The sequence below is a fragment of the Homo sapiens genome, chromosome 20 (assembly GCF_000001405.40).
Source record: "Homo sapiens chromosome 20, GRCh38.p14 Primary Assembly".
NCBI classification, from domain to species: Eukaryota; Metazoa; Chordata; class Mammalia; order Primates; family Hominidae; genus Homo; species Homo sapiens.
In genome coordinates, this window is record NC_000020.11 from 22,054,090 (window position 1) to 22,079,706 (window position 25,617).

Sequence of the window (25,617 nt, forward strand, 5' to 3'; positions counted from 1 at the left end):
GAGAGTAAGGCGCATCAGGCAGATACAAAGCATTTTGCTGAGATTACTGGCACTATATAAACCCTGCACTCCCAGGGAGCAGTAGAAATCTTGAGAATGGATCCATTAGAGTGTAAGGCAGACGTTAAAGATGGAGAAACCAACTTCTAATGACAGCTTGGAGCATCTGGATCTAGTCCCAGACTTTTTAGTTATGTGAGTCAATACTGTCATTATTTTTTCTCTTTACTTTTTAATTAAATCAGTGAATTGGATTTTCAGTTAATAGCAACCACCAGTCTTAAATGATATGATAGCCTATGCTTTGTTAGGTTTTGTTGAATGTATAAGTCTCTCAGTGTTGGTATTAGAATCCATTATTTTCCACGTGTAGTGGTTAGATTTTACTAATGATGTGTATTCCATAGTCTTACTTCTGCAACTATTTTTATAGATAAAAGGCTTTAAACCTTTTAAAAGAGTAGTATCCGTTTTCCGTTTTGTTTAAAAACAGAACAAAGACATAAAAACAGATAATGGTATGAGTACTGCAGTTGAAATGCAATTAGGGATTCTTTAGCCTACTTGGTCTTTACACCTCTTGCCCTGTTCCCCATCCCTATGTGGCATCACAAGAAATCTTACAGCCTGAAAAATATGGAACATAAAACACTGTTCTGTCATTTATCATACAAACAGGGTCAATTTCGAGAATAAAAGAAGACATTCTTAATAAATTTATTCTGGGAAAAAGTCTTAAACGGGTGATACCAGGAAAATTGGGACATACGGTTATCCTGGTTCTATACCACAAGAGTTGAAATGAGAGGAAAGTATGGTTAAGTGAGAAGAAATGGATTCCAGCCCCATTTCTATCATCCACGAGCTGTGTATTCTTAAAAAGTTACTCAACCTCTCTGAGCTTCAGTTTTCTTCATTAGTGTGTCAGAGAGAATAGTAATTACTACCTCACTGGAGGTTGTTGTAGGGTCGTAGTTATGAAAGGTCATAGTTATGAAAGATCATAGTTATGAAAGTGCTTTGTCAACCATAAGACACAATGTTACTAGTGGCTTTTATTGTATGAACTAACCAATCTAATTATGATGACTCTAACAATGTGGTTGTACTTAACTTTACACAATAGATGAATTCTCAGAAAAAAAGTTGAGTATGAATGATTTTGTAAATTGTCTCTTACTTAAAAAGCTCACATGAGACAAAATTGTCTGAGAAATTCTTCTATAAAGTTCAGAATTATTTTGTAGAATAAAAGTTACCCCATGCTTATATCTTATATATTAGAATTTGCTTTTAAGCAAAACATATCCCTAATGTCTTCAAGGATTTGTCTCTCCAGCTAAATGTGGAGAATGAGGCATTTCATAAATGTTAGATTACCTGGCCAGGATGCAAGCTGGGGCTAGGGTTGGAGCAGGAGGCCCTTTTCGGGGCCCAATATGGCCATGAAAAAAAAAAAGACAACATAAATTCTTGCAAAGCAGGACCCTGTCGGTTTAATTTATTTCACATTTGCCCTGGAAGCACGAGGCTCCAGTGGGCTAATGAGTACGAGATGCTGTTACAGACGAGAGGCAACCTATGCATGCTGCTTGTATGACTGGCACCCAAATAGGCTTGCTGGGTTGGTGCACTGTCAGGTTTCCAATTCTTTCGATGTGTCTGTAGCCTTGGTCTGGCCAGGTCTGCCTTGTCCTCCTGGATGGACATTTAGGAAATGCATCCTAACCCCATCAGCACAGTCATGCACTGGTCTTCTTTTCCCATATGTGTGTGCCGCCATCTGGGACAACTTAGCCATTGTCTGTTAGGGCCTTTGATGCTTGATTATAGGGAAAGAGGAAAACATCAGCTACAATAGAGCAATCTGTTCTGTTTGGGACATCTTACAATCTTTTTTCCTCCTTTTCTTTTTTTCAATGCACATATTTTTGATCATCTTCACATAGGGATGTATATTGGTAATGGAATGTATTCTAGAATTCTTTCTCTTGAAAGGAATGAAGCTCTCCATTTACCCTGTGCTCATAAAATAGTTTTGCAAATATGATCTTGCTGATAAAACACTTATTCCACTTCTCTTATCCTCTTTTTGCTTACAGACTGCCAAAAGAATCTAAGATTTCAAAGCATAAATGCTGATAACATAGTTTTTTCATTGCTTTTGCTCTGTATTTCCGCAGAGCTTATTGTTTGTTGTTTTCAGTGGTAAAACTTTCATCTTCAACAATAGTTAGATTAATTTAAAAACATCTTTACAATGGTATATTGTAATAGATATTAGCAAATTTCTTGGAGAAATGTTGTATTCAAATAGAACCAAATCTATACTGTACTGTTAAGTGTATGTGTTAAGGTTGACTAAGTTCCAAGGTCATATATACTTTGTAATTTTATTTTGGTAGAAAAATAATAACTAAAGTGATGTACACCAAATAATTACAAGTCATGGTCTCTGTGGGATAGAACCACAAAATGTTTTTCTTTCTTTCCCTTCTTTTTTTGCTCTCTCTCTTTCCTCTCCTTCTGTTTGCTTATTTGCATTTTTGAATTATTTTATAACAAAATTGCATGACATTTGTAATAAATCCCACTCTATAAAATAAGTTTAAAAACATAAAGGAAAGTTTGACAGTCTATGAACTTAATCTCCACCCAGAAATGGAGTGCTGTAGTAAGGCCCACTCAAGATAACGATGGCAATGGGAAGCTGGAGTGACAGATGGCACACGATGGCAAACAGCCCATACACGTTAGTGCTTTCTGTGGAAAATAATTTTGTATATATATAAATATCTTTTATAATTTAGGAATTTCCACATTATTAAGTCAGGATAGCCAGTATAGTAGAGATACAGGTGTCCAATATCCCTTTCATCCTTCTTCCTTTAGTAATAGTTTATCTGAGTGTATACTGAGTGTGGTCCCTTGTCCAAAGGAACCTTTAAAGTGGTGGTGGTCACATGCTAAACTTATAGTCAGAGGTATGTGAATGGCGATGGTGGATATCACCTCTCAGTCATGCTCATATCTTTCCTTCTGTCCCTTGTGCTCTGCACATGGCAGTGGGTGCTGAAGCAGCCACATGAGACCAGGAGGTGCAATCTAATCATTGAGGACAGCAAAGCGAGAACTAATGAAGTTGAGTCATTGATGCTGTTGAGCCACCACATCAGTTCAGAATTGCCTAAGCCTGTGTATTTAAGCAAGCAAGAAAGAAATCTTATCTTGTTTAAGTCACCATTGGTAGGGTTTTTTTTTGTTATAACCATTGAATCTACATCCTAATAATAGTATATTATATTACTATAATTTTACAGTATATAATAATATAATTTTATAACATAATATGTAGATAGACATAGATAAATATATGGATGGATGGATCTATAGATAGATTGATGAATGAAGGGAAAGGTGGATGGATAGATGAATGAATGGATGAATGGGTAAGTGGATGGATAGGTAGATGGATGACAGATGAATAAATGGTGGATGAATGGATGGATAGATGGATGGATGGATGGATGGATGGATAGATGAATGTATGATTAGATAGGTGGATGAATGGACAGATGGATGGTGATATGGTTTGGCTGTGTCCTCATACAAATCTCAACTTGAATTGTTTCTCCTGGAATTCCCACATGTTGTGGGATGGACCCAGGGGGAGGTAATTGAATCATGGGGCCAGTCTTTTCCTTGCTATTCTTGTGATAGTGAATACGTCTCATGAGATCTTATGGATTTATCAGGGGTTTCCACTTTTGTTTCTTCCTCATTTTTCCTTGCCGCTGCCACGTAAGAAGTGCCTTTTGCCTCCTGCTATGATTCTGAGGCCTCCCCAGCCCTGTGGAACTGTAAGTCCAGTTAAAGCTCTTTTTGTTCCCAGTTTTGGTCATGTCTTTATCAGCAGTGTGAAAATGAACTAATACGGATGGATAGAAGGGTGGAGGGATAGATGGATAGAATGGGTGGACTCAATCTTGTTGCCCTTCCTTTTCTTCACCCTGTTTCTCTACCCTCTGCAGGAAGAGCCCACCTTACTTCTCAGTCTAAGAAAGTGGCAAGCACTGCTGGGCTCTTTCCACACCTGTAGTTCCTCAGTTTTCTGAAACATAGGTTGTGTGTTTCTAATCTGGCAAAGACTTGAAGGAAAAAAAATCCTTTTTAAAGTCATTGTAAACAGATATTACTTTTATTTCAGCAATTTGCCTTGGTAAAATTCGGGAATTGAAATGTAAATAACCGGTTATGTACAAATTTGACTGGTTTTGGGGCCAAACCTGTATAGCTGGTAGCCTGCACGGATTCCATGAGGGTTACTTCCTGTGCCAGTCCAAGTGCACAGCACAGGGCAGAGCATTATGAACACATAAAAACAAGGGAAAAGTCAGAGAGAGGGAAACTGAACAGTGAAGATGCAGAGGAGTAAGAGAGTCCTGGGAGCAAGTAACCAGAGAGGGAGTTGCGGCAGCATTCAGCCTAGAGGGCATGATAGGCCAAGGCATAGAGATAGGAAGTGTTGAACACTGGACGCTGTGACAGTGAGGGCAGCTGGCCTGGCTGAAGGAAGAGTTTATGTGGGAAGTGGAAGGAAAAGTCCCTAGAAGGCTGAAGGCAGGTATTGAGCCACCACGGATAGACAGAGGATGCCACCTGAATATTATTTCTTCTATATATCAGGACTGTAGCTCTGTTAAATAGATTCCAAAACTCTTGTTTTCATGCAGATATCTTTTTGGAATTGTGATAGAACATGAGGCTATAAAATTCCAAGCCAAGTGTTCTAAAATCCTCAAGACCATATACAGACTAAGCTTTGTGTACATGGTGTCAAAACAGGCAGGTCAAACCACTTTATTGCTTGCATAGCAGACACAGCCAGGAAGCTTCCCAGCCAGGAAGCAAAAATCATAAGCTGTTTTTCTATTCCTTTTCCTGCATAGCATGGTGGCTGGAGTTCTAGTTCTCATTTAAGTTCCTCCTACTTAACTGGTGGAATCCAAGTAATTGATCCAGTATCATCTATCACCACCCTTCTTGTCCTTGTGCTCTGCCAGGTTGCTGAGGGAGTGTCACATCATCCCAAAGACTGTAGTCCCAGACCTGCTGTGCAGAGGCTCCAAAACCATGCTCTGACTGGGCTTTCACCTGATTGCCAAAGGGGCTTTCTCTCCCTCGCTGAAGAATGTGCCTCCTTTTTCCTCCTTCCTTCTGACCGACAAAGGAAGCCCCTTTCTGATCATTAAATGGCTCTGTTAAATTATACCCTTTAGGGCATTTTGTTTTTGCTGGGTGAGGGAGCAGGGGTAGTCTTTTTCTCTCTTTCCAAATAACGGCAAGGGCAGTTCCTCAATGTCCTGAAGCTTCCACTGACATTTGGACCCTAGGTCTCTTCTCTCTAGATTGAGCAACAGATGTGACCTATGTTTTGTAGGGTTTCACCATGCAGATAATGTACTAACCTTACTTACACAAAACCACATTTTTATTTGTGTACTTTTTGATTGGTTGTCTCAGTAGGCATCAGATCACTTGTTGCGGCGTGTTGGGGGGAGCTTGTTGATGCACAGATAGTGGGGTTCCATCGCCAGGGTTTCTGGTTCAGAAGGTCTGGTGTGGAGACTGAGAATTTGCATTTCTAACAAGTTCCTGGGTGAACTGCAGAATTACATTTTAAGAACAACTGTTCGGAGCACCCTTGCCTTAATAATGCTGCAGAGACTTTCTGGGCTGGTCCAGGTGTCTTGTGGCTCCGCTTCTGCTGTGTCAATTTTTGAACAGCATGTGGAGGAAAGATGCCCTCTCCAGGGTGTGGTGAGGAGTGAGGACAATGTGGGCATGTCTGAGCTGTAGTGGGCATGGGTGATTCAGCAAGGACTGACTGGACAACAGTGTCCCTTCTTGAGAGCATCCCAGCAGGCTAGGCAGCAGAGCTATTAAATAAAAATCCGTAGGAAACATTGACATTGGATCCCTCCTGAATGTTTGTTCTACAAATGTGGAATGTTTGTCTCATCCAGAAACCTCAAAATTACTTTGCCATTAACACCTGTGTGAGTGGCAGGGCTTGCATCATTAAGATTGCCGGAGGAAAACGCTGCCTCACCTTGGCCGAAGGAAGCATTAAAAATTAATGAGGTATCAGTACTCACAGTTTGATAAACTACAAAACACCTCCTTATGCCTCCACTTTTTCAGTTGCCTAAGCCTCTGATACATCTATATAAGACATTTTAGAAGACCAAATGTCAACTGTAGAGCTATGAATGTCAACAGAAAAATGAAAAAGAGAAAAAAAATTTGCATTTTTTTTGCAGAGGATTGTGAAAATACTATGACATATTTTATATTTTTTATTTGAAGGGTCATGTGGTTCAGACCACACATGGGTATTTGCACTTGCTGCTTGTACCAAGTGAATCAGATGGGATGGTAAGAGTAATTTCTTGGAATGTTTTAGCAGCAGTGAGGGTTACAGGCAGATGACCTGGGAGCTAGTCTCTGCTGTTTACTCCTCTGGCTCTGAGATGCCTTCAGGAAAGTTCTGTGTTGTGACATTCTAGAGACAGCTTGCCTCTAGAATACTGTGACATGCCACCTGGAAGTTTTGTAGGTCTGGAAATATTCACAACGTGTGCACATTCAGCATTAGACTGTATGTGGCCGTTCTCTCTGTCATAAGGGAGTATATGCAAAAACTCTCAGATGTCTTTGTTCTGCTCTGTGGTCTGGGCTGGGACAATTTTGATGAGCTGGCAGCCTAATGTTTTCTTGATTCTTATTTATAGCTCAAATCTCTTTATGGGTGCTCTTCAGGGGTATCTTTTCAGGGTTCTTGGTCAGCTGGTAAGTGTTACAATAATATCTCTTTTGAATATGTAACTATTATGCATTATATGTGGCTGCTATTAAGATGGATACTAATTATTGTTCTCAGATCTTTTCAAATATGAGCTCATTTACTCCTCAAGGCAATCCAATGAAGTCAGTGCCATTTTTATCACCATTTTACAGATGAGGAAACTGAGGCACTATCTGTAACTTGCCCAAGGTCACACAGCTGGTAAGTGGCATACCCAAGGCTAGAACCCATGCTCTTAACTACTACATGAAACTACTGATTGCTTTTCTGATGAGCTTCAACTGGTAGAAGCCACTCGCGTCTACTCACAAGCTTGTTACTGAACCCATTGGGGTCAAAAGCACATGTGTGTTTCTGAACAGAGAGGTGAAGTGAGTGGGCTCATCTTAAAAGCTTGTTTCCATTGCTTTAGAATCAAGTGCAAATGCTTTAGTAAAGCCTTCTAGCACTTTTCTCAACATTTCTGAGGTTCTCTCCCAAGCCTCCCTCCCTAACCACATAAGCTTGCCCAAAGCATGCTGGGGGCATGATGCTCTAGACCATTGCTCATAGGTCTCTTCATCTAGAGCTGGCTCCTGTCTCGCACTCTATTTGCACACCTTTGCTGGGGTGAATCATGTTCTAGAGTGTCCCAATTTGAATGTCAGATCTGGTTACAGATACATTGAGATAATGGTCCCTGAACCCTGGGCAACTGGGCATGTTCTGGGGTTGCTGGAGTCCTTGTTCTGGTCACTTCCAGCCATATAAACATACTTTTTTCTTTGCTGAGGAACTGATCTGTGCTGAGGAATGCCACATCTGGGCTCTGTTGAAGAAGGTAGGCAAACAGAAGAGAGAGATGGGGCATTTCTTCCTCCACTCCCTCCCTGCCTTGGGGTCACAATTCCAGCAGCAGTTGTACCCTTCCCTTCTGGTGGGCACTTCCCCTGCAGCCCTCTTCCTTAGCTCCTAGTATCTCCTAGGGCAGTAATAGCTCCAAACTGCTCCAAACTGCTGTTAGTCTTTGGGGGCCTCCCAACCCTTGTTGGTTTACTCTGCCTACATTCTGTCTTGCCACCCCTTGGACAGCATTTCTACATTTGAACCATATGGGTGAATTCCATATCCTTCTGGGACCCTGACCCATGAAACTCCTTCGTCCCAAACTATGTCTGAGCTTTGTCCTCCAACTCGCAAATGGCCACCAGCAGATTTTCCTACTCAGCTCACACAGCCCAGGTCCCCACTTATTGGATGGAACACAAGATACCCTTTAAATCATTTGAATCACAATGCAGACTTAAGAGTCCATCAAATTCTTGGGAAGGGGCAATGTGGGATTCTTTCTCCTCCACTTTCCCACCATACTCCCTTTGTGGCAGATCACAGGCATGTGTACAGTATAGTGCAGATTCTCCCTTTATCCAGAACACAACCCAGGGGCCTGGGTCTTGTTTTACTTCCCTTAATGTCCATGTGGTTATTGATGCCGCTGTCTTCCCTGGTAATCTATCAGCTCCACTAGAGGAGAATGGGTATCTCTAGGACTAGTTCAAAATAAGTACTTCTTAAGTGAATGAAGGAAGGAAGGAAGGTAGGTAGGAAGGAAGGAACAAATGAATGAAATGCAGCTGGCACAAGTTGGGGTCCATCGTTTAGTCACAGAACAAACAAGCATAAGTTGTTCCCACCCTGATCCTCAAAAACTTCAAAATGGAGCTGTCCTCCTTTTATGGGCCCTGAAGCAATTCAGAGGCCTCGTTCTCTCTTTGATATACTTCCCTCATTGCCAGGTGACAGTCCGGAGGACAACGAGGCATTGAGTGCCTTGCCCCAGCTGGGCAAGCTGCTGAGCAGAGAAGTCAGCATTCCCGACATCCTGCCCGGCTCTCTCTTGACTAAACCGCATGGGCTGTTTTTCTTTGCTCTTGCTTGGACCACTGGGCTCTTCTTGACTCAGACACCACTGATCCCTTTCCCGGGATACACACCCACCTGCTCCCTGGAGCCAAGTTTTGTGAGGCGTGTGGCTTTTTTTTGGAATGCTTGGTCACCTTGGAGCTCCTGCCTCATCCCAGGACAGGAGGATTTGTGTAGATAAATTATCACCATGGGAGACCAGTGTGTGTCCCCAAGCCTTCAGTGCAGTTCAGACACAGTGGGTTTCCTGCAACTCACTTTTGCTATGGCGACTTTTGTTATGCACAGTGAACAGGAAGTAGAAATTTGCAGAATATAAGCCTTCTTCACAGGAAACGTATTTTGGAGCTCACCACACCATACAGGCTGCTGATTTAATACAACCAGGATATGTGCAAATCTCCGAGGAATGGCAAATGCCATCCACCTTCACTTTTTTCACCTTCCTTCTCCTCCTCCTCCTCACCTTCATTTTTCAATAACCCAATTATTTGCTGGTGCATATAAAAGTAAACAGAAAATGAATAAGCTGTGGACTTTGAAGGATAGTTTTTGAGTTAGAAATCTGAAGGGGGAGAAAAGGCCACAGAAACAGGGTAAACAGTTAAGGCAAACATTTTAGACCAAAATAGCCAGTAGACAGCAGCTGAGAATGGACCTCACTGCTGGTAAAGAGGCCCAAGTGGATTAAATTGATCAAAACAGTGTTTGGGAGATAGCAAGGAATTTTATTTTTCATTATTTCTCTTCAAAAAGGCATGATGGAAGATTAGACTTCTCTAAGAACAAACGTTTGAAACTTTTCTATTGCTACTGTTTCTGTGCTTTGCATTTGATGTTGGTTATGAAACGTGTTTTTCTCAGTATAGATATATATGTATATTTTTATACATACACATACATATATATATTTTTTATACATACACATACATATATATATATATATATATATTTTCCTTTTCTTGTTGAACCATGATAGTAAAAATGATTAGTGGAGTTGAAATCTGCAGCAATGCACAGAATGCTTTTTCCAGTGTTTAGGATAGCTGAAATATGCAATAATTGATTTTAACATGTGCTGTAATTGGTTCCATATGCATTGCTGTCAACTATGATGCATCATAATTAAACTGACATGTTCAAAACCTGGCCACTGAAATGAGCACTCCCTGCATTTTCCAACTGTGCACAGCTTGCTGCTTCTCCACTCCCTAGCTTCTCAATCAGGAACCACATTGCCGGGTTTTATTTTGCTGCTGGTCTCCTCTATGTTTTATCTATTTTTCCCCCTCAGATTTTAAATGACCTCCTGGAGTGGATTCAGGGTCTTTCCCCACCTTCATTTTCAGATGGTCACATTATTTCAGCAGTGATGGATCTATATGCAATTTCCTAAGTCATCATAAATCAGATCTAAACTCATGAGAATGGTCAAGAATTTGATATAAAATAAGACACAGGAGCAGATCCATAAAAGTTCCATATTTTAGTCCCTCCACCCCCAATTGAACCACGCTTGAACTCTAATTAGAAAATTCACTTGGAGGAAGAAAGCATAGTATATGACACATGTTCCCCTCCAGTTTCCTCTCATATAAATGACAATATTCATATATTTGACCACCTTTCTGCTTATTTCTGTGGTCATCAGAATGTTTATGAGTGTCCAGGATGGTCTTACCTTGATGGCCTGATTATCTTTCTCTTTTCTTTTGTAAAAGCCATCTGAAATCATTGTAAGGGCATTGAACTAGGATCTGGGGCAGCTCTGTTACTATTAATAGAGTTAGTAAAGTTCTCTGGGTGTTAGCTTTCTCCTTGGTAAGATGGAAAGGATAATACTCTTTCTACTGTCATCTCAAGGTTTAGCCCAATAGAATGAGATACAGGCAAGATTGGATAATGCGGCCTTTGGTTCCTGAATCTCTGTTCTGAATTAGCATGAGTCATGTCTGTGTTTGGACTTTGAGTTACCATAATCTGCTGTTTTAATTTCACCAAGAACTGCATCCCCCTCAAATCTCACAGTGTTACACCTTCTCCAATCTGTTAACCACATAAATGGGTCCTGCGATGGCAAAATATTTAATAACAAAAGTTAGTTTATCATCATCCATAGTTGATCAGACGAATCATCACTGTGAGGCTCCATAAGGCCAATGCTGGGAGAAGGGACATAGCAGCCATCTTTCCACTATTTCCACTGGGAACACCAATCTTCCACTCATTTTTGTCATGGTTCACTGGTGGGGATCCCTAATTTCAGTGACCTTTTCCTTGCTTAGAGCATAGTCCTGTAACGCAGACCTGGTTAATCATGGTGTCTCTTCTGTTTGTCCGTGGAACATAGTCCACGCTGTAGCAGAATGACCAAGCTGGACCCACAAGGGTTTTCTCATGCACTTTGAAAGCCAAAAGCTATGAGGCAAGATTCCCCCATCTCCTCGGAAATGAGCTATGAAGACATAAGCCTGGTGACACTGGACTGCAGGAAGAAAGCCATGCTCTCCACTGTGTAAAGGAAGGAGAGATTGAGCCCCACACATGGGAGGAGTGGAATTGAAAACGCTGATTAATGACTTTGGAAACTGTCAGGTGATTTGTAGAAGAAAGAACTTACTCCACTTCCTACTGAGATCTTATTTCCTGATTAAATTCCTTAAGAGGCAAACTTTCTGGAGCTAAGAAAGTGATTGGGAAAGGAAAGTGGTTCTTTATCTTCCTCCTTCCTCTCATGTTTTATTTTCTGAAAGGGAAGAGTCACTATTTCATAGCCAAGGATAAGAAGGGATCTTGCTGCTACTTTAATAGGCATTCCAACTGGAGTCCTGAGCCTACTTTTCCTTCTTATTTTGCATCTTTATTCTTATTGGATCGCCTCTCATTTGGCTATCAGAATATTTCTCTCCACCCCACTCCCTGGTCAACATGATCTTCGAGTCAGAAGACTTGCCCATTACTTTTGAGCAACCTTTGGATGGTATGTGGTGCATCTGCAGTGGCTCTCAAACCGAGGGTGCATCTGAACCCCCTGGAGAGCCAGTGAAAACACAGATTGCTGGGCCTGACCACCAGCGGCCCTGATCCAATAGGTCTGGATGGGGTGGAAAGTCTGCATTTCTAAGTCCTGAGGTTGTACTGAGGCTACTGCTCTGTGGAGCGCACTTTGAGAACTACTGCTGAGATGAATGCTAGATTAGATTAAATGTGAGACTCAAGTCTTGGCCTTTGGACAATCCCCAAAGCCTCTGTGGGCTTCACTTTACCTATTTATAAAATGGATGATTTGACCTAGGTGATCTTAAAATTTTCTTTAAGATGCCTCCAAGTCAATGAACTGATCATGAAGTTCTATTTGGAAGGACTGCACTGTCATGTCAGCTTTTCTTTTTCCCTTTGAGACAATTATAGCTAAAAAAGACAATATCTAATTTCTGCAGAAATTGTGGAAGTGGTCAGAGATCAGCAATAGAATAGTGTAAATATTATATGCTATTAATTCTAAGGTCCTGACATAATACTCTGCCATTAAGCTTTTCATCTGGAGGTTGTATATTGTTTTGTAATTATTTGCTAATTAATCAGGCACTAGTTCTAGAATTTAGGAAACACCAGCTCAGTAGCTTCTCAACCATGATGAAGAGTAGACAGTATTAGAAAAACACAGTAGTGGGAGAGTGGAAGATTGGGGGAAGGAAAAGAGAGTCCCTAAGCACAAAGTGTGCTTCTCTACCTCTCCTCCTTCTCCATTCTGTGCTTCCCTGGCAGATCTTCTGGGCGAGGAGCCAAGAGAAGGTTTGAAAGTTTGTCTGCAGCTAGATAAACATCTTTAGTGGAGAGATGGATTTTGGCGTCACTTAGGAGGTCCCACCTAATTTTGAAAAGAGAGGGAGAAAAAGGAATATCTGAAGACATCTTCTGGAGTGGAAAGGACCAAAAAATCATTGAGTCTGGCTTTCCTCTATCACCCCAAGTTCCTGCACAAACCACCTGCATCCCAACAGCAATATAAAATGACTATTTTATGAGTGAGAACAGGAAACTGTGGCTATAACAAGGCTTCTTTCCCCTTTTCTTTTGAGGAGGAATAAATGATGGATGTAAAGACAAATATGAAACAGTAATTTAGAAAATAATTTCTTTTCATGTAAGAGCCACTTTTTGACAACTTGGTGGTATTTAAGAATACTGATCAATGAGGAGTATCATAGAATACTGATGAGTTGATTAGATACGTAAGTATTGGGCATCTAACATACCCTAGCAGTATGTGAGGCACAAATTAACCAAACAAAATTATTTCTATGTTTTAGGAGATAACAGTTGAGATAGGAAGAGGACAAGTAAACAGATAATTTTATCAGTTCCAACAGGAGTGAACACAGGCTACCACAAGAGAGCCTTGCATGTGTGAATATCAGCAAAAACTCCCTGTGGAAAGTAGTGGCCTCGAGCATGAGTAGAGGTTGGGTCAGATAGGAAAAAGGTGTTCTTTTCAGACTTAGCATCAGACACAAAGGCTCAAAGAGGTGAGTTCATGAAACTTTGATTGTTGAGTATGACTGGTGGCTAGAATTGAAGCTGCAAGGGAAAGCATGGGTACCTATTGACTTTATTTTGATCCACTAGTTCAGTACTAGTCCCAGTTCCCAAAGAGTTTGGTTTTTATTGGTGAGATGGGGGTGGTTGATCATGGAATTAACTGATGTCTATCTGTAGCTAAGTAACTGGGTGGGTTCAGAGCCCTTCCTCTCATGGACTGCTTAACTTCTCTCCTCTACACTGTTGCTGTCCTTTTATGATGCTTTTCCTTGCTTCCTAAGCATGGTTTCTCCATTGCATCCATCCTCAACCCCTTCTGTTCCTGGCTTTACTTTGAGGCTTGCTCTAGGTATAAATTCATTTTCCAAATAGATACATTATATATGACTAATGTCTATAGGGAAATATGACATTTTAAGGGAGGAGAGAGCAGGATTTGCTGCAGGTTGGAGAACTGTTTTTCTAATCGTCTGCCTTTCTAATGTGCTCCCAGATGGTGCTGATGCTGCTGATGCCTGGCTACATTTTGGAGAACCTGGAGCCTTCTTTCAAATGATGGTTGATGAAATTATATTAAACCCAAAATTTAGGTTCTCCAATGCTCTCCTTTCTTTTTCTCTTTTTGAGACAGAGTCTTGCTCTGTCACCCAGGCTAGAGTGCAGAGGCATGATCTCAGCTCACTGCAACCTCCACCTCCCAGGTTCAATTGATTCCCCTGGCTCAGCCTCCCAAGTAGTGGGGATTACAGGTGCACACCAACATGCCTGGCTAATTTTTGTATTTTTAGTGGAGACAGGGTTTCACCATGTTGGCCAGGCTGGTCTCGAACTCCCAACCTCAAGTGATCCTCTCGCCTCGGCCTCCCAAAGTGCTGGGATTACAGATGTGAGCCATTGTGCCTGGCCCCATGCTCTCCTTTCTAAAGGGGAAGAACCTTTTTGTAGCAGAGGAATCATTCTTGAAGGTCCCAAGATCCTTTCTGCTAGACTTCCTATTCTTATAGTTGTTTCTAAACTTAATTCTTTCTGGAAAACAGAATAACTGCAAGAAAAAATCTACATCCTGAAAGGGTTGAACCCATCTTGAAAATGGCAAAATCTCCATCCTGGTGATCACTGGCACCATCACTCCCAGTACAGCCATCACTCTATGGGATCCTGGGCACTGCTTAGCACTAGGAAGGCGAATGGCTTTAAATTATGATTCCTGTCCTCAAGAGATAAGTCACATTGTTGAAAACCTGACATCAACGTACAAAGATTCATAATCATAAAAGGTAACTCTTGGTAAGTCATTATAATCTTATTAATTGCTTCTAATGGTAAGTCACATCAATGCTGTATTTTTTCAGGTTTCAGAATTTAGCAGGCAATTGAATATGTCACTGTTTGGGTATTACTAATGGGAGTAGTGAAGTTTCCTTTTTACCTGTGGTTAGCATTTTGCTTTTGGCTCCAGAAATGTCATAGAAACAACCTGACTTGGGCATATTTCTAGAGACTATCAAGTTACATATAAAGTTTAGTATGTTATTTAGACTAATATTTTATAAATCATGTTCTGGAATTAAGCTGAGTAAGGCCAGGAAGAAAGAGGGTTGAGGATGGATGTAATGTAGGAACCATGCCTAGGAAGCGAGGAAAAGCATCATAAAAGGACAGCAACAATGTAGAGGAGAGAAGTTAAGCAGTCAGTGAGAGGAAGGCCTCTGAACCCACTCAGGTACTTAGCTGTAGATGGACATCAGTTAATTCGATGACCCACCACCCCATCTCACCAATAAAAACCAAACTCTTTGGGAACTGGGACCAGTACTGAACTAGTGGGTCAAAATAAAGTAAAAAAGAAGCCCACTTCAAGAAATACTCCTCTAAATAACTTCAGAGAAAAGGAAATTTTGAGAAACAAGCAATCACACAGACACACCATGTGCTGTTGTCTTTTCAGCACCAGCTCTGTGTTATGGTACAGTTAGGGAGAGGATGAGGAGGGCTCTTCTCTGAGCACATTTCCAACAGTCTTTTCATGGTATGCAGCAGTTGTTTACAACAACGTTTCTCACTTTAATGTGCACACAAATCATGCAGGATCTTTTGAAATTCACATTCAGACTCAGTGGGACTAGATGGGGCATGAGCCTTGCAGAGGTGATGGGCTCACAGGCATGCCAATGGCCTGTGGTCCTTGGATTGCACTCTTAAGTAGCAATGGTTTAGAATATGGTGAAAATATGTTAGAAGGGGCATTGTGAATGTATGGGGGTTCATCTGTTCAAGAAACAACAATGAAAAAAAATGGTGATTAAATGCAACCACACCTAAATAAGGTAGCCAGGAGGTAGAACCAGCTTCTCCATGAACAGGCCACATACCATCTCCCGGGGCTGCCTCCAGTGTCCAGCCTGGCTGTGCTCAGGCCCTCAGGGCTTGCTGGACTCTCCTGGCAGTGTGGGGTCAGGACTCAAGTAGGTTGGATGCTGATAGCAGAGAGTGTGATTCTCCGGCCTGATGACCCAGAATCACTCCCAGGACTGGAATCCCAGCTCTCCCAGGAGGAAGGAGTCGTCCCTGGTCTCCCGCATCCCCCAAATGCTGATTCTGTGTCTGCATGTGGAGGGGTAACAAACAAACAACAAAGGACCATCTCAATTAACCTGCCACACAGAGCAGAATCCCATAAAAAGTTCCAACTCTCTTTTTGGATGAAGCTTCTTTTTTTTTTTTTTTTTTTTTTGAGATGGAGTCTTGCTCTGTCACCCAGGCTGGAGTGCAGTGGTGAGATCTCGGCTCACTGCAACCTCCGCCTCCTTGGTTCAAGCGATTCTCTTGCCTCAGCGTCCCAAGTAGCTGGGACTACAGGTGCATGCCACCACACCTGGCTAATTTTTTTAATTTTAGTAGAGACGGGGTTTCATCATGTTGGCTAGGCTGAACTGCGGACCTCAGGTGATCTGCCCGTCTTGGCCTCCCAAAGCGCTGGGATTACAGGCGTGAGCCACCATGCCCAGCCTGGATGCCACTTCTTATGATGCTTAGAATCTGGTCCCCTTTCAGAAAACTGAAGCCTTGAAGTACCTAAAGTTGCTACATTGTTCTCTCTCTCAAAGAGGAAAGCAAAGGGAAGGTCTAGGCCAGCACTTTCCAAAATTCAATGTGCGTAGGAACCACCTGCGGAGTTGTTAATACTCAGATTGAGATTTGGTAGTTCTGCGTGGGGTGGGGCCCAAGAGTCTGCCAGGTGCTCCTAGCTGGTGCTGATGCTGCTGGTGCCTGGCTACATTGTGAGTAGCAAGGGCAAGCAAACTAAGTGACCCTCTTTGGTGATCTGCAGAGTCGAGGATGATGCATCTTTCAGGCCTGAGTCAGACTGTCTGAACTCCAGGGGCCCAGGAGCTGCACAGCTGTGTAAGATTAGAAATCTCAGCGCTGAGCAGGATGGGGCTGGGGCCAGTTAATGGCATCATTTCATTGTAGTAACTACAGCAGGCCAGAGCCAATTGCTGTTTAGTCAGCTTTCCCGTGTTTGTTGATTTTGGTATTACTGATTTATTAAAGGAAGAGGAACTGTGTTGGATATCAGAAAAGTGTTAGAAAGAGGAAAGTAGAGTAAATCCAAACCTCTCTCTCTACACTCTCCAAACCTGTCCCCCACACCCACCCCACCCCCTTGTTGCCAAGTTGTAAGATCTTGGGCTGACTTCCAAGTTCCCAAAATTCAAGTGTGGAAAAAGCCAACTAATCTCCTGGAAAAATCTCCTGATGTGTATTTTTATTTAACAATCTGGGCTGATTTTAAACTTAGCCCACAGTAAACTGTGCTCAACCGGCATTATCATTATGGACACTTGCTGCTGTATTTTCCAAGGATCTCCCCTCCCCCGCTGGTATTGCTACCAGATACAGAATGGAATTTGTCAGGACAAGCCATGTATTACTACTAAACCATTAATTCAGTTAGTGCATTAGGAGTGGGAAGACTGATTCTTTGCATTATATTTTGGCTGTCAGGCCTGATTTGAGTTTATTTCTCATTGAGTATTCCATATCAAAGGCTGGGATAATAGAATTACAGGACATTAGGACTTTCAATCTGGAAGAGACCCTGGAGATCATTTAGTGCTGCCTGCTCACTTTACAGATGAGGAAACTATATTTTTCAGTCTTAAGAGCTTGAGCAAGTACTCGGCTTTTGATATGCACATGTAGTTGCCATTCCCATGTATGGGAGTTGTGTGCGTGCTTGAAGGGAGTCAATAATGAACTTTCCTATTTAGTTTTCCTTGATCTTGGCTTTAGCTTCATCAAAGTCTGTCATACACACCCTCTGGACAGCATACATTTTGCAATAATATGTTGTCTTGGTTCCTGATAATAGTGGAAAAGAAATGTGATGTTTTTACTTAAAAGACACTTTATACAATTTAATAGCAACTGCATCTCTGGCATCTATAACAGATGTTATCCAGTGCAGGCAACTTTTTCTAAGTAATCTAGCTGAATTTTAGCTGCTGAAATTTTCTGTATCATTTGGTGATCATATTTCATTTCAGACTTTTGAACACGACAGATTGTCCACCTGGATCTCATTTTGCCACATTTTATTGATGGCCTGACTCAGATCTTTCAAGTTCTCACTAACTGACCTTGAAGGAGTAGCTTGTTTTTTAAATTTTATGACACAGAGATGTAAACTGCCTGCAAATTATGCAACTCAGTGGTGATGAACAAAGAGAACTTTTTATTACTATTTATTACCTACAGTTAAGGAATTAGCAAGAGCTGTTACTTTGCACCCATTCCTGGGACAAAATCCCGAATTAACTTTATATCAAGCACATGTGTAACAAGTGAGAACTACATTTTTTGTTTGCAAATCTAAGCTCATTGTAGTGCTATTGCACTTATGCCTTCTTGTGGCTGCCCTGATTCCATAAATAATGACAGGCTTCTCTCTCCTGGCCTTGTTATTCTGAGTCGGATGGCCCATTGCCTGAGGATCTGAATGACATTGGATGGAAACTAAAGAGAGAAGACGAATAAAAAATACTACCCATCACCCTAGTCTGGCCATGAGAAAAACATCTAACAAATTCAAACTGAAGGACATTTATTCTACGAAATTCTTGGCCAGTGCTCCTCAAGGCTGTCCAGATTATGAAAAACAAGAGGAGTGTCAAATGGCCAGGGTCTCCCAGAGGCTCAGGATATAAGATGACTAAATGTGATGGGGGACCCTGCGTGGGATCCTAGGACAGAGTGAAGACACTTGAGGCAGTCTTCATGAAGTGTGGACTTTAGTTAATAATGATGTGTCCATATTAGTTCATTGATTGAGTCACTTGTGCCACACTAACATAAGCTGTGAACAATAGACGAAACTGGGTGCAGGGTATAGGTGAATTCTGTGCTATGTTTGCAACTTTTCTATAAATCTAAAATTATTCTAAATTCAAACGTTTACTAAAAATAATGCTTATGCCCACTCAGCCTCTGCTGACACCAAGCAAGCATCTGTGATAGGTCAAGTTTCAGCTCCATTATTTCATTAAATCTTCAGAACAACTTTATGAGGTATTTATTATTATTCCCATTTTATCACTTTGAAAACAGAGAAACTGAAGTTCAGGGAGAATAATCTTTTCTACGTTGATTGAGTTCCCTTGGCTTAAAAATGGCAGAGTTATGATTTTAACCCTCATTTATCTGACTCTAAAGCACACACTTATTTCAGTTCCCCATTTGGTTCTCAGAATCCTGTTCTCAAGAGATGGGGCAGAGGATGGGGAAATGGGATGGAAATGGTGGGAACGGCCTGTGTGTAGTTCAGCAGGACTGTGTCTGGTTTTCTGAGCCATTGAAGTTTCCCAAGGAGGATCACGCAGCCTCTATTTTCCCTAAAGGCTAAGGTCCAGGCTAGCTTTAGGTGAGTTTTCCCATTTCCTTGGATTTCATTGAACAAACATTAAAAAAGAAATTCCCCCTACAGTGGCCATGGGTGCAGTGTCTGCCATGCAGAGGAGAAGCCGCTGGTTGTAGCAGCAACACTCCAGCTTACCTGGAGCAAAGTAAGTATGGTCATGCTGCATCCTTTTCCAGAATCCCTACCACTGTCTGTGCATCTGGGTCACTGGCGAACCTAAGGACGTCCAGAGCCCTAGTTTCTTAAGATTCTGACTCAGTAGATGAGAGGAGAGCCCAGAAATCTGCATTCAAAATTATTTATTGATGATTTGGCCATGAATCTGTATTCTAATTCTGAATCTCAGAGAATCAACTCTTGTTCTCACCTGAAGAAAATGTAAAACCACCCTCAACATGGTTGTCTCTTGAGTAGGTAGCATTAATAGACTGTCTAGGCCAGGAGTCCACAAACTATACCTCTGGTTAAATGGCCCACAGCCCCACCAGCCTGTTTTGTAAATAAAATTTGATTGAACAGAGACATGCTCTTCGTTTATTTGTTGTCTATGGTTGCTTTTTGCTACTATGGCACAGTTGAGACTGTATGGCCCTGAAAGTTTAAAACAATAATCTGACCCTTTACAGAAAAAAGTTTTCCAACCCATGGTGTAAAAGACAGAAAGGGTCTGGAATAACAATTAGTCGCAGTTAAAGGGAAAGGGAGTCTAGTTGCTCTCAAGCTTCAGTGTACCCAATAATCTCCTGTGATACTTATTTAAAAATGCCATCCCTTGAGATTCTGATTTAGTAGCCTGGGCTGAGGCTAAGAAATATGCATTTTTAGCAAGGTTTTGAGACACATGGTCCTACTCACCAAGAATACGGACCCTGACAATAGCTTGACCTGGGTCCATAATCCTCTCTAGAGGTCTGTGTATGTTTAGTTATTACTGTGTATTATATTTGGACAAAGATTTAAAAAATAAAACTAAATATCACTTTTGTGAACTAAATCATGCCCCCCCCAACAAATTCATATATTGGAGCACTAACCCCCATATGACTGCATTCACAGAGAGAGTCTTTAAAGAGGTAATTAAAGTTAAATGAAGTCATAAGTGTAGGGCTCTAATCTGATTGGACTGGTGTTCTTATAAGTAGAGAAAGAGACACTAGAGATCTCTCTTTCTTCTCTGCAGGTGCATAAAGGAAAGGCCATGTGAGGACACAGCAAGAAGGCGGCCCTCTGCAACCTGACCAGCAAGATCTCACCAGAAACCACCCCTGCTTGCACTGTGATCTTGGAATTCTAGCCTCTAGAACTGTGAAACAATAAACTGTTGTTTAAGCCACTTGGCCTGTGGTATTTTGTTACAGCAGCCTGAACTGACTAATACAATCACTAAATTATCAAAAAGTGGAATTAAAAGTGTTATATCTGTTTCACTCAAGATATGAGTAGGAAACAGAGAAGAGTTAGACAAAAAAAAAACAAAAAACAGATAAACAGAAATTTAGTAAATATTTGCTGAGTAATGAATTTAGACATTTTGCTTTTTGATATGCTTTCAAGAACTTCAATGAGGTATAACTGACATTCAATAAACCACAATTATTAAAATGTACAATTTGATGTGCTTTGCCATATGAAACCATCATCAAAAATCAAGATCATAAACACAACTATCACCTTCCAAATCTCCTTGGATACCTATAATTCCTCCGTCTGCCCCTTCCTAATCTGCCCCCTGCCATCCTACAAGAGGAAACCTCTGATCTGTTTTCTGGCACTATAGATCTGTAGGTTAATGATAATTTTCTAGAATTTTATATAAATAGAATCATATGGGATGTAATCTTTTTTTGATTTTTTTCCACTCACCATCATTATTCTGAGATTCATCCATGTTGTTGCTTATATCAGTGTTTTATTCCTTTTGATTACTGAGTGATATTCTGTTGTGTATACTGTCATTCGTTTATTCATTTATATGTTGATGGACTTTTGGCTTGTTTCCAGTTTTAGGCTATTACCAAATAAAGTGCAAATCTTTCTATGGATAGTTTCATTTTTATTGGATCAACTAGGAGGTGTATATTTAACTGTTAAACTGCCAATTTTTTTCCAAAGTGGCTGTACCATTTCACCTCCTGCCAGCAGTGCATGAGAGTCCTAGTTCCTCCAAATCCTAGCCAACACCTGACGGTCATTTTAATCTGAGCCATTGAAACAGGAGTGTAGTGGTATATCATTGTGGTTTTAATCTGCATTTCCCTAGTGACTAACAATGTTGATTATCTTTTCATGTGCTTATTTATCATTCATATATCTTCTCTGGTGAAGTGTCTGTTTTGCCTATTAAAATATTTTTTAAAGTTATTGAGTTTTGGGGGCTCTGTATTCAGAATGTAAGTCCTTTATTAGACTTATGCTTTGCAAATATACCTTTCCAGGCTGTAACTTGCCTTTTCATTCTTTTATGAATGAAACAATGTTGGTCCAAAAACAAAGGTTTCTAATTTGTGGAAATACAGTTTACCAATTTGTTCTTAATGGACCATGACTTTGCTGTCATAGCAAAGAAGGTTTTGCCTAACTCAAGGCCACAAAGATTTTGTCCTGTTTCCTTCTACAAGTTTTATAGTCTTAGATTTTACATTTCATTCTACAATCCATTTGAGTTAATTTTTGTATATGGTACAAGGTGTGGATTGAAGTTCATTTTTTGTATATGAATATCTAATTGTTCCAGCATTAGTTGTTGAAAAGACTACCCTTTCCCCCATGGAATTACTTATGCACCTTTGTAGAAAATCAGTTATTTACATAAATGTGGGTCTATTTCTGTATTCTCTATTTTTTCCCATTGATTTATTTGTCTGTGTTTTGTACCAATCACACCTGTCTTGATTACAGTAGCTTTATAATAAGTCTTAAGATTAGTGAGTTTTGGTCTTTCAACTATTTTCTTCCTTCCAAAAAAAGTTATTTTGGCTATTCTAGGTCCCTTGCACTTCCATATTAATTTTAGAATCAGTTTGTCAATTTCCAAAATAAAAATGCTGGGATTTTGATGTCTTAGTGACAATAATGAGACTTCTTCCAAGGGTAAGTGACTCAATCCAGTTACCATTTCATGACAATGGAAGGTATGCAAACATATACACAAACAAAATCAGCAGAACATGATCACACTAATTTTGCTATCATTACCAGGAAACAATGAAACAAAATTAATTTCCCATCTTAATACTCTAGCTTTATTTCAGCTGTCTGCAGACATGTATGCACTAGCTTCCCTTTGGACACTCTTTTTTTAAAAAAATGAGGTGACATGGACATAATTTAAAAGTAACCATTTTAATGTGAACAATTTAGTGGCATTTTGTACATTCATAATGTTGTGCAACAACCACCCTTACTAATTTTAAAACATTTTCCTCACCCTAAAAGGAAAACCTGTACCCATTAAGAAATTGCTCCCTATTTCTCCCACCTCTGGCACCACCAATTTTATGTTCTGTATCCTGGATTTACCTATTCTGGCCACTTCACATAAATATAACTACACAATACATAACCTGTTGTGTCTGGCTTTTTTTACTTAGCATAATATTTTCAAGACTCATCCACATTGTATCAGGCATCAGTACTTTGACTGGATAATATTCCATTGTATGTGTATAGCACAAGTGGTTTATCCATTCATATACTGATGAACATTTGGGCTGTTTCCACTTTTTGGCTATTGTTAACAGTGCTGTTATAAATGTACATGTGCATGTATTTGTTTGAGTACTTGTTTTCATTTCTAGAAGTAGAATTGATGAATCATATGGTAATTCTACATTTAACTCTTTGAGAAACTGCCCAAGTCACTGTCAGAATGGCTGAACCATTTTACATGCTCACCAGCAATGCACAAGGCTTCCATTTTCTCCACATCCATGCTGAAATTCATTCTTTTCTTTTCTTTTTTTTGAATTATAGCCATTCTGGTGAGTGTGAAGCAGTAACTCATCGTAGTTTTGATTTCTCTTGTGACTTATGCTGTTGAACATCTTCTCATGTGCCTATTGCCCATTTGTGTATCTACTTTGTCTGTCAATCCTTTGTCCATTTTAAAATTGGATTGTTTGTATTTTGGTTATCAAAATGTAAAAGTTTTTATACAGTCTAAATACTAGACCCTTACCAGATATATAATTTGAAGATATTTCTCCCATTCTGTAGGCTATATTTTCACTTTCTTATTAATTTCCTTTGACCCAAAAAAGTTTTAAATTTTGATATAGTTTAATTAATTTATTTATTTTACTTTTGTTGCTTTGGCTTTCAGCATTTTATCTAAGAATCTATTCTCAAATCAAAGTCATGGAAATTTACCCCTATGTTTTTCTCTGTCTATTTAGATTTTTGATCTATTTTTGAGTGAATTTTTCCCTGGTGTGAGGTAAGGATCCAACTTTACTTTTTTGTAGGTGGCTGTCCAGTTGTTTCATCATTATTTGTTGAAGAAACTATTATTTCCCCACTTATTAGTCATGGAACTCTTGTCAAAAATGAATTGGCCATAGACATATGGATTACTTTGGACTCTCTATTTTATTCCATTGGTCTATATGTCTATCCTCATGCTAGTGTCATTGTTCTGATTTCTGTTGTTTTGCAATAACTTTAGACATTAGGAAGTGTGAGTCTTCCAACTTTGTTCTCCTTTACTAAGATTGTTTTCACTATTTAGGACACTTTACAATTCCGTACATATTTAAAGGTAAGCTTTTTCATTTCTCTAGTAAAGACCATTTAAATTTTGATATCAATTTTTGTGTTGGATATATAGATCAATTTATGAAGTTTAAAAATATCTATTTAAAAAATAAGTTTCTAATTCATGAACATGGGGTACTTTCCATTTCTTTTTATTATTACTATTATATTTTAAGTCCTAGGGTACATGTGCACAACGTGCACATCTGTTACATATGTATACATGTGTCATGCTGCTGTGCTGCACCCACTGACTCGTCATTTACATTAGGTATTCCTGCTAATGCTATCCCTCCCCCATATCCCCCACCCCATGACAGGTCCTGGTGTGTAATGTTCCCCACCCTGTGTCCAAGTGTTCTCATTGTTCAATTCTCATCTATGAGTGAGAACATGCGGTGTTTGGTTTTCTGTCCTTGCAATAGTTTGCTCAGAATGATGGTTTCCAGCTTCATCCATGTCCCTACAAAGGACATGAACTCATCCTTTTTTATGGCTGCATAGTATTCCATGGTGTACATGTGCCACATTTTCTTAAACCAGTTTATCATTGATAGACATTTGGGTTGGCTACAAGTCTTTGCTATTGTGAATAGTGCTGCAATAAACATACATGTGCATGTATATTTATAGTAGCATGATTTATAATCCTTTGGGTACATACCCAGTAATGGGATCTCTGGGTCAAATGGTATTTCTAGTTCTAGATCCTTGAGGAATCACTACTCTGTTTTCCACAATGGTTGAACTAGTTTACACTCCCCGAACAGTGTAAAAGTGTTCCTAATTCTCCACATCCTCTCCAGCACCTGTTGTTTCCTGACTTTTTAATGATTGCCATTCTAACTGGTGTGAGATGTTATCTCATTGTGGTTTTGATTTGCATTTCTCTGATGACCAGTGATGATGAGCATTTTTTCATGTGTCTGTTGGCTGCATAAATGTCTTCTTTTGAGAAGTGTCTGTTCATATCCTTTGCCCACTTTTTGATGGGGTTGTTTGATTTTTTCTTGTCAATTTGTTTAAGTTCTTTGTATATTCTGGATAAACTGAAACTGGATCCCTTCCTTACACCTTACACAAAAATTAATTCAAGATGGATTAAAGACTTAAATGTTAGACCTAAAACCATAAAATCCCTAGAAGAAAACCTAGGCAATACCATTCAGGACATAGGCATGGGCAAGGACTTCATGACTAAAACACCAAAAGCAATGGCAACAAAAGCCAAAATAGACAAATGGGATCTAATTTAACTAAAGAGCTTCTGCACAGCAAAAGAAACTACCATCAGAGTGAACAGGCAACCTACAGAATGGGAGAAAATTTTTGCAATCCATTTCTTTAGATCTCTAATTTCTAGTTTTGGGGAGAGTTTTATAAATGTTCGGTAAAATTCATCTGTAAAGGCATCTGATCCTTGGCTTTTCATTGTTGGAAATTTTTGTTGTTGTTATTTGTTTATTTTAAATTACTGAGTCAATCTCTTTACTTATCAATCTGTTCAGATTTTTTGTTTTTTTTTGAATCAGTTTTGGTAATTTGTGTTTCTAAGAATTTGTCCATTTCAGACTGGTTATCTAATTTGTTGATGTATAACTGTTCTCAGTATTATCTTACAGTTTATTTCTGT

At 40.0% G+C, this 25,617-nt stretch overlaps 1 long non-coding RNA gene across 1 annotated transcript; it reads left to right on the forward strand.

Annotated features, from left to right (window-relative positions):
• On the forward strand, positions 1–20,565 carry LINC01432 (long intergenic non-protein coding RNA 1432). The gene is made up of 4 exons (NR_038394.1): positions 1–195; positions 14,350–14,599; positions 19,299–19,377; positions 20,413–20,565. It is a non-coding gene; the product is annotated as a long intergenic non-protein coding RNA 1432 (long non-coding RNA).
• The last annotated feature ends 5,052 nt before the right edge of the window (positions 20,566–25,617 follow it).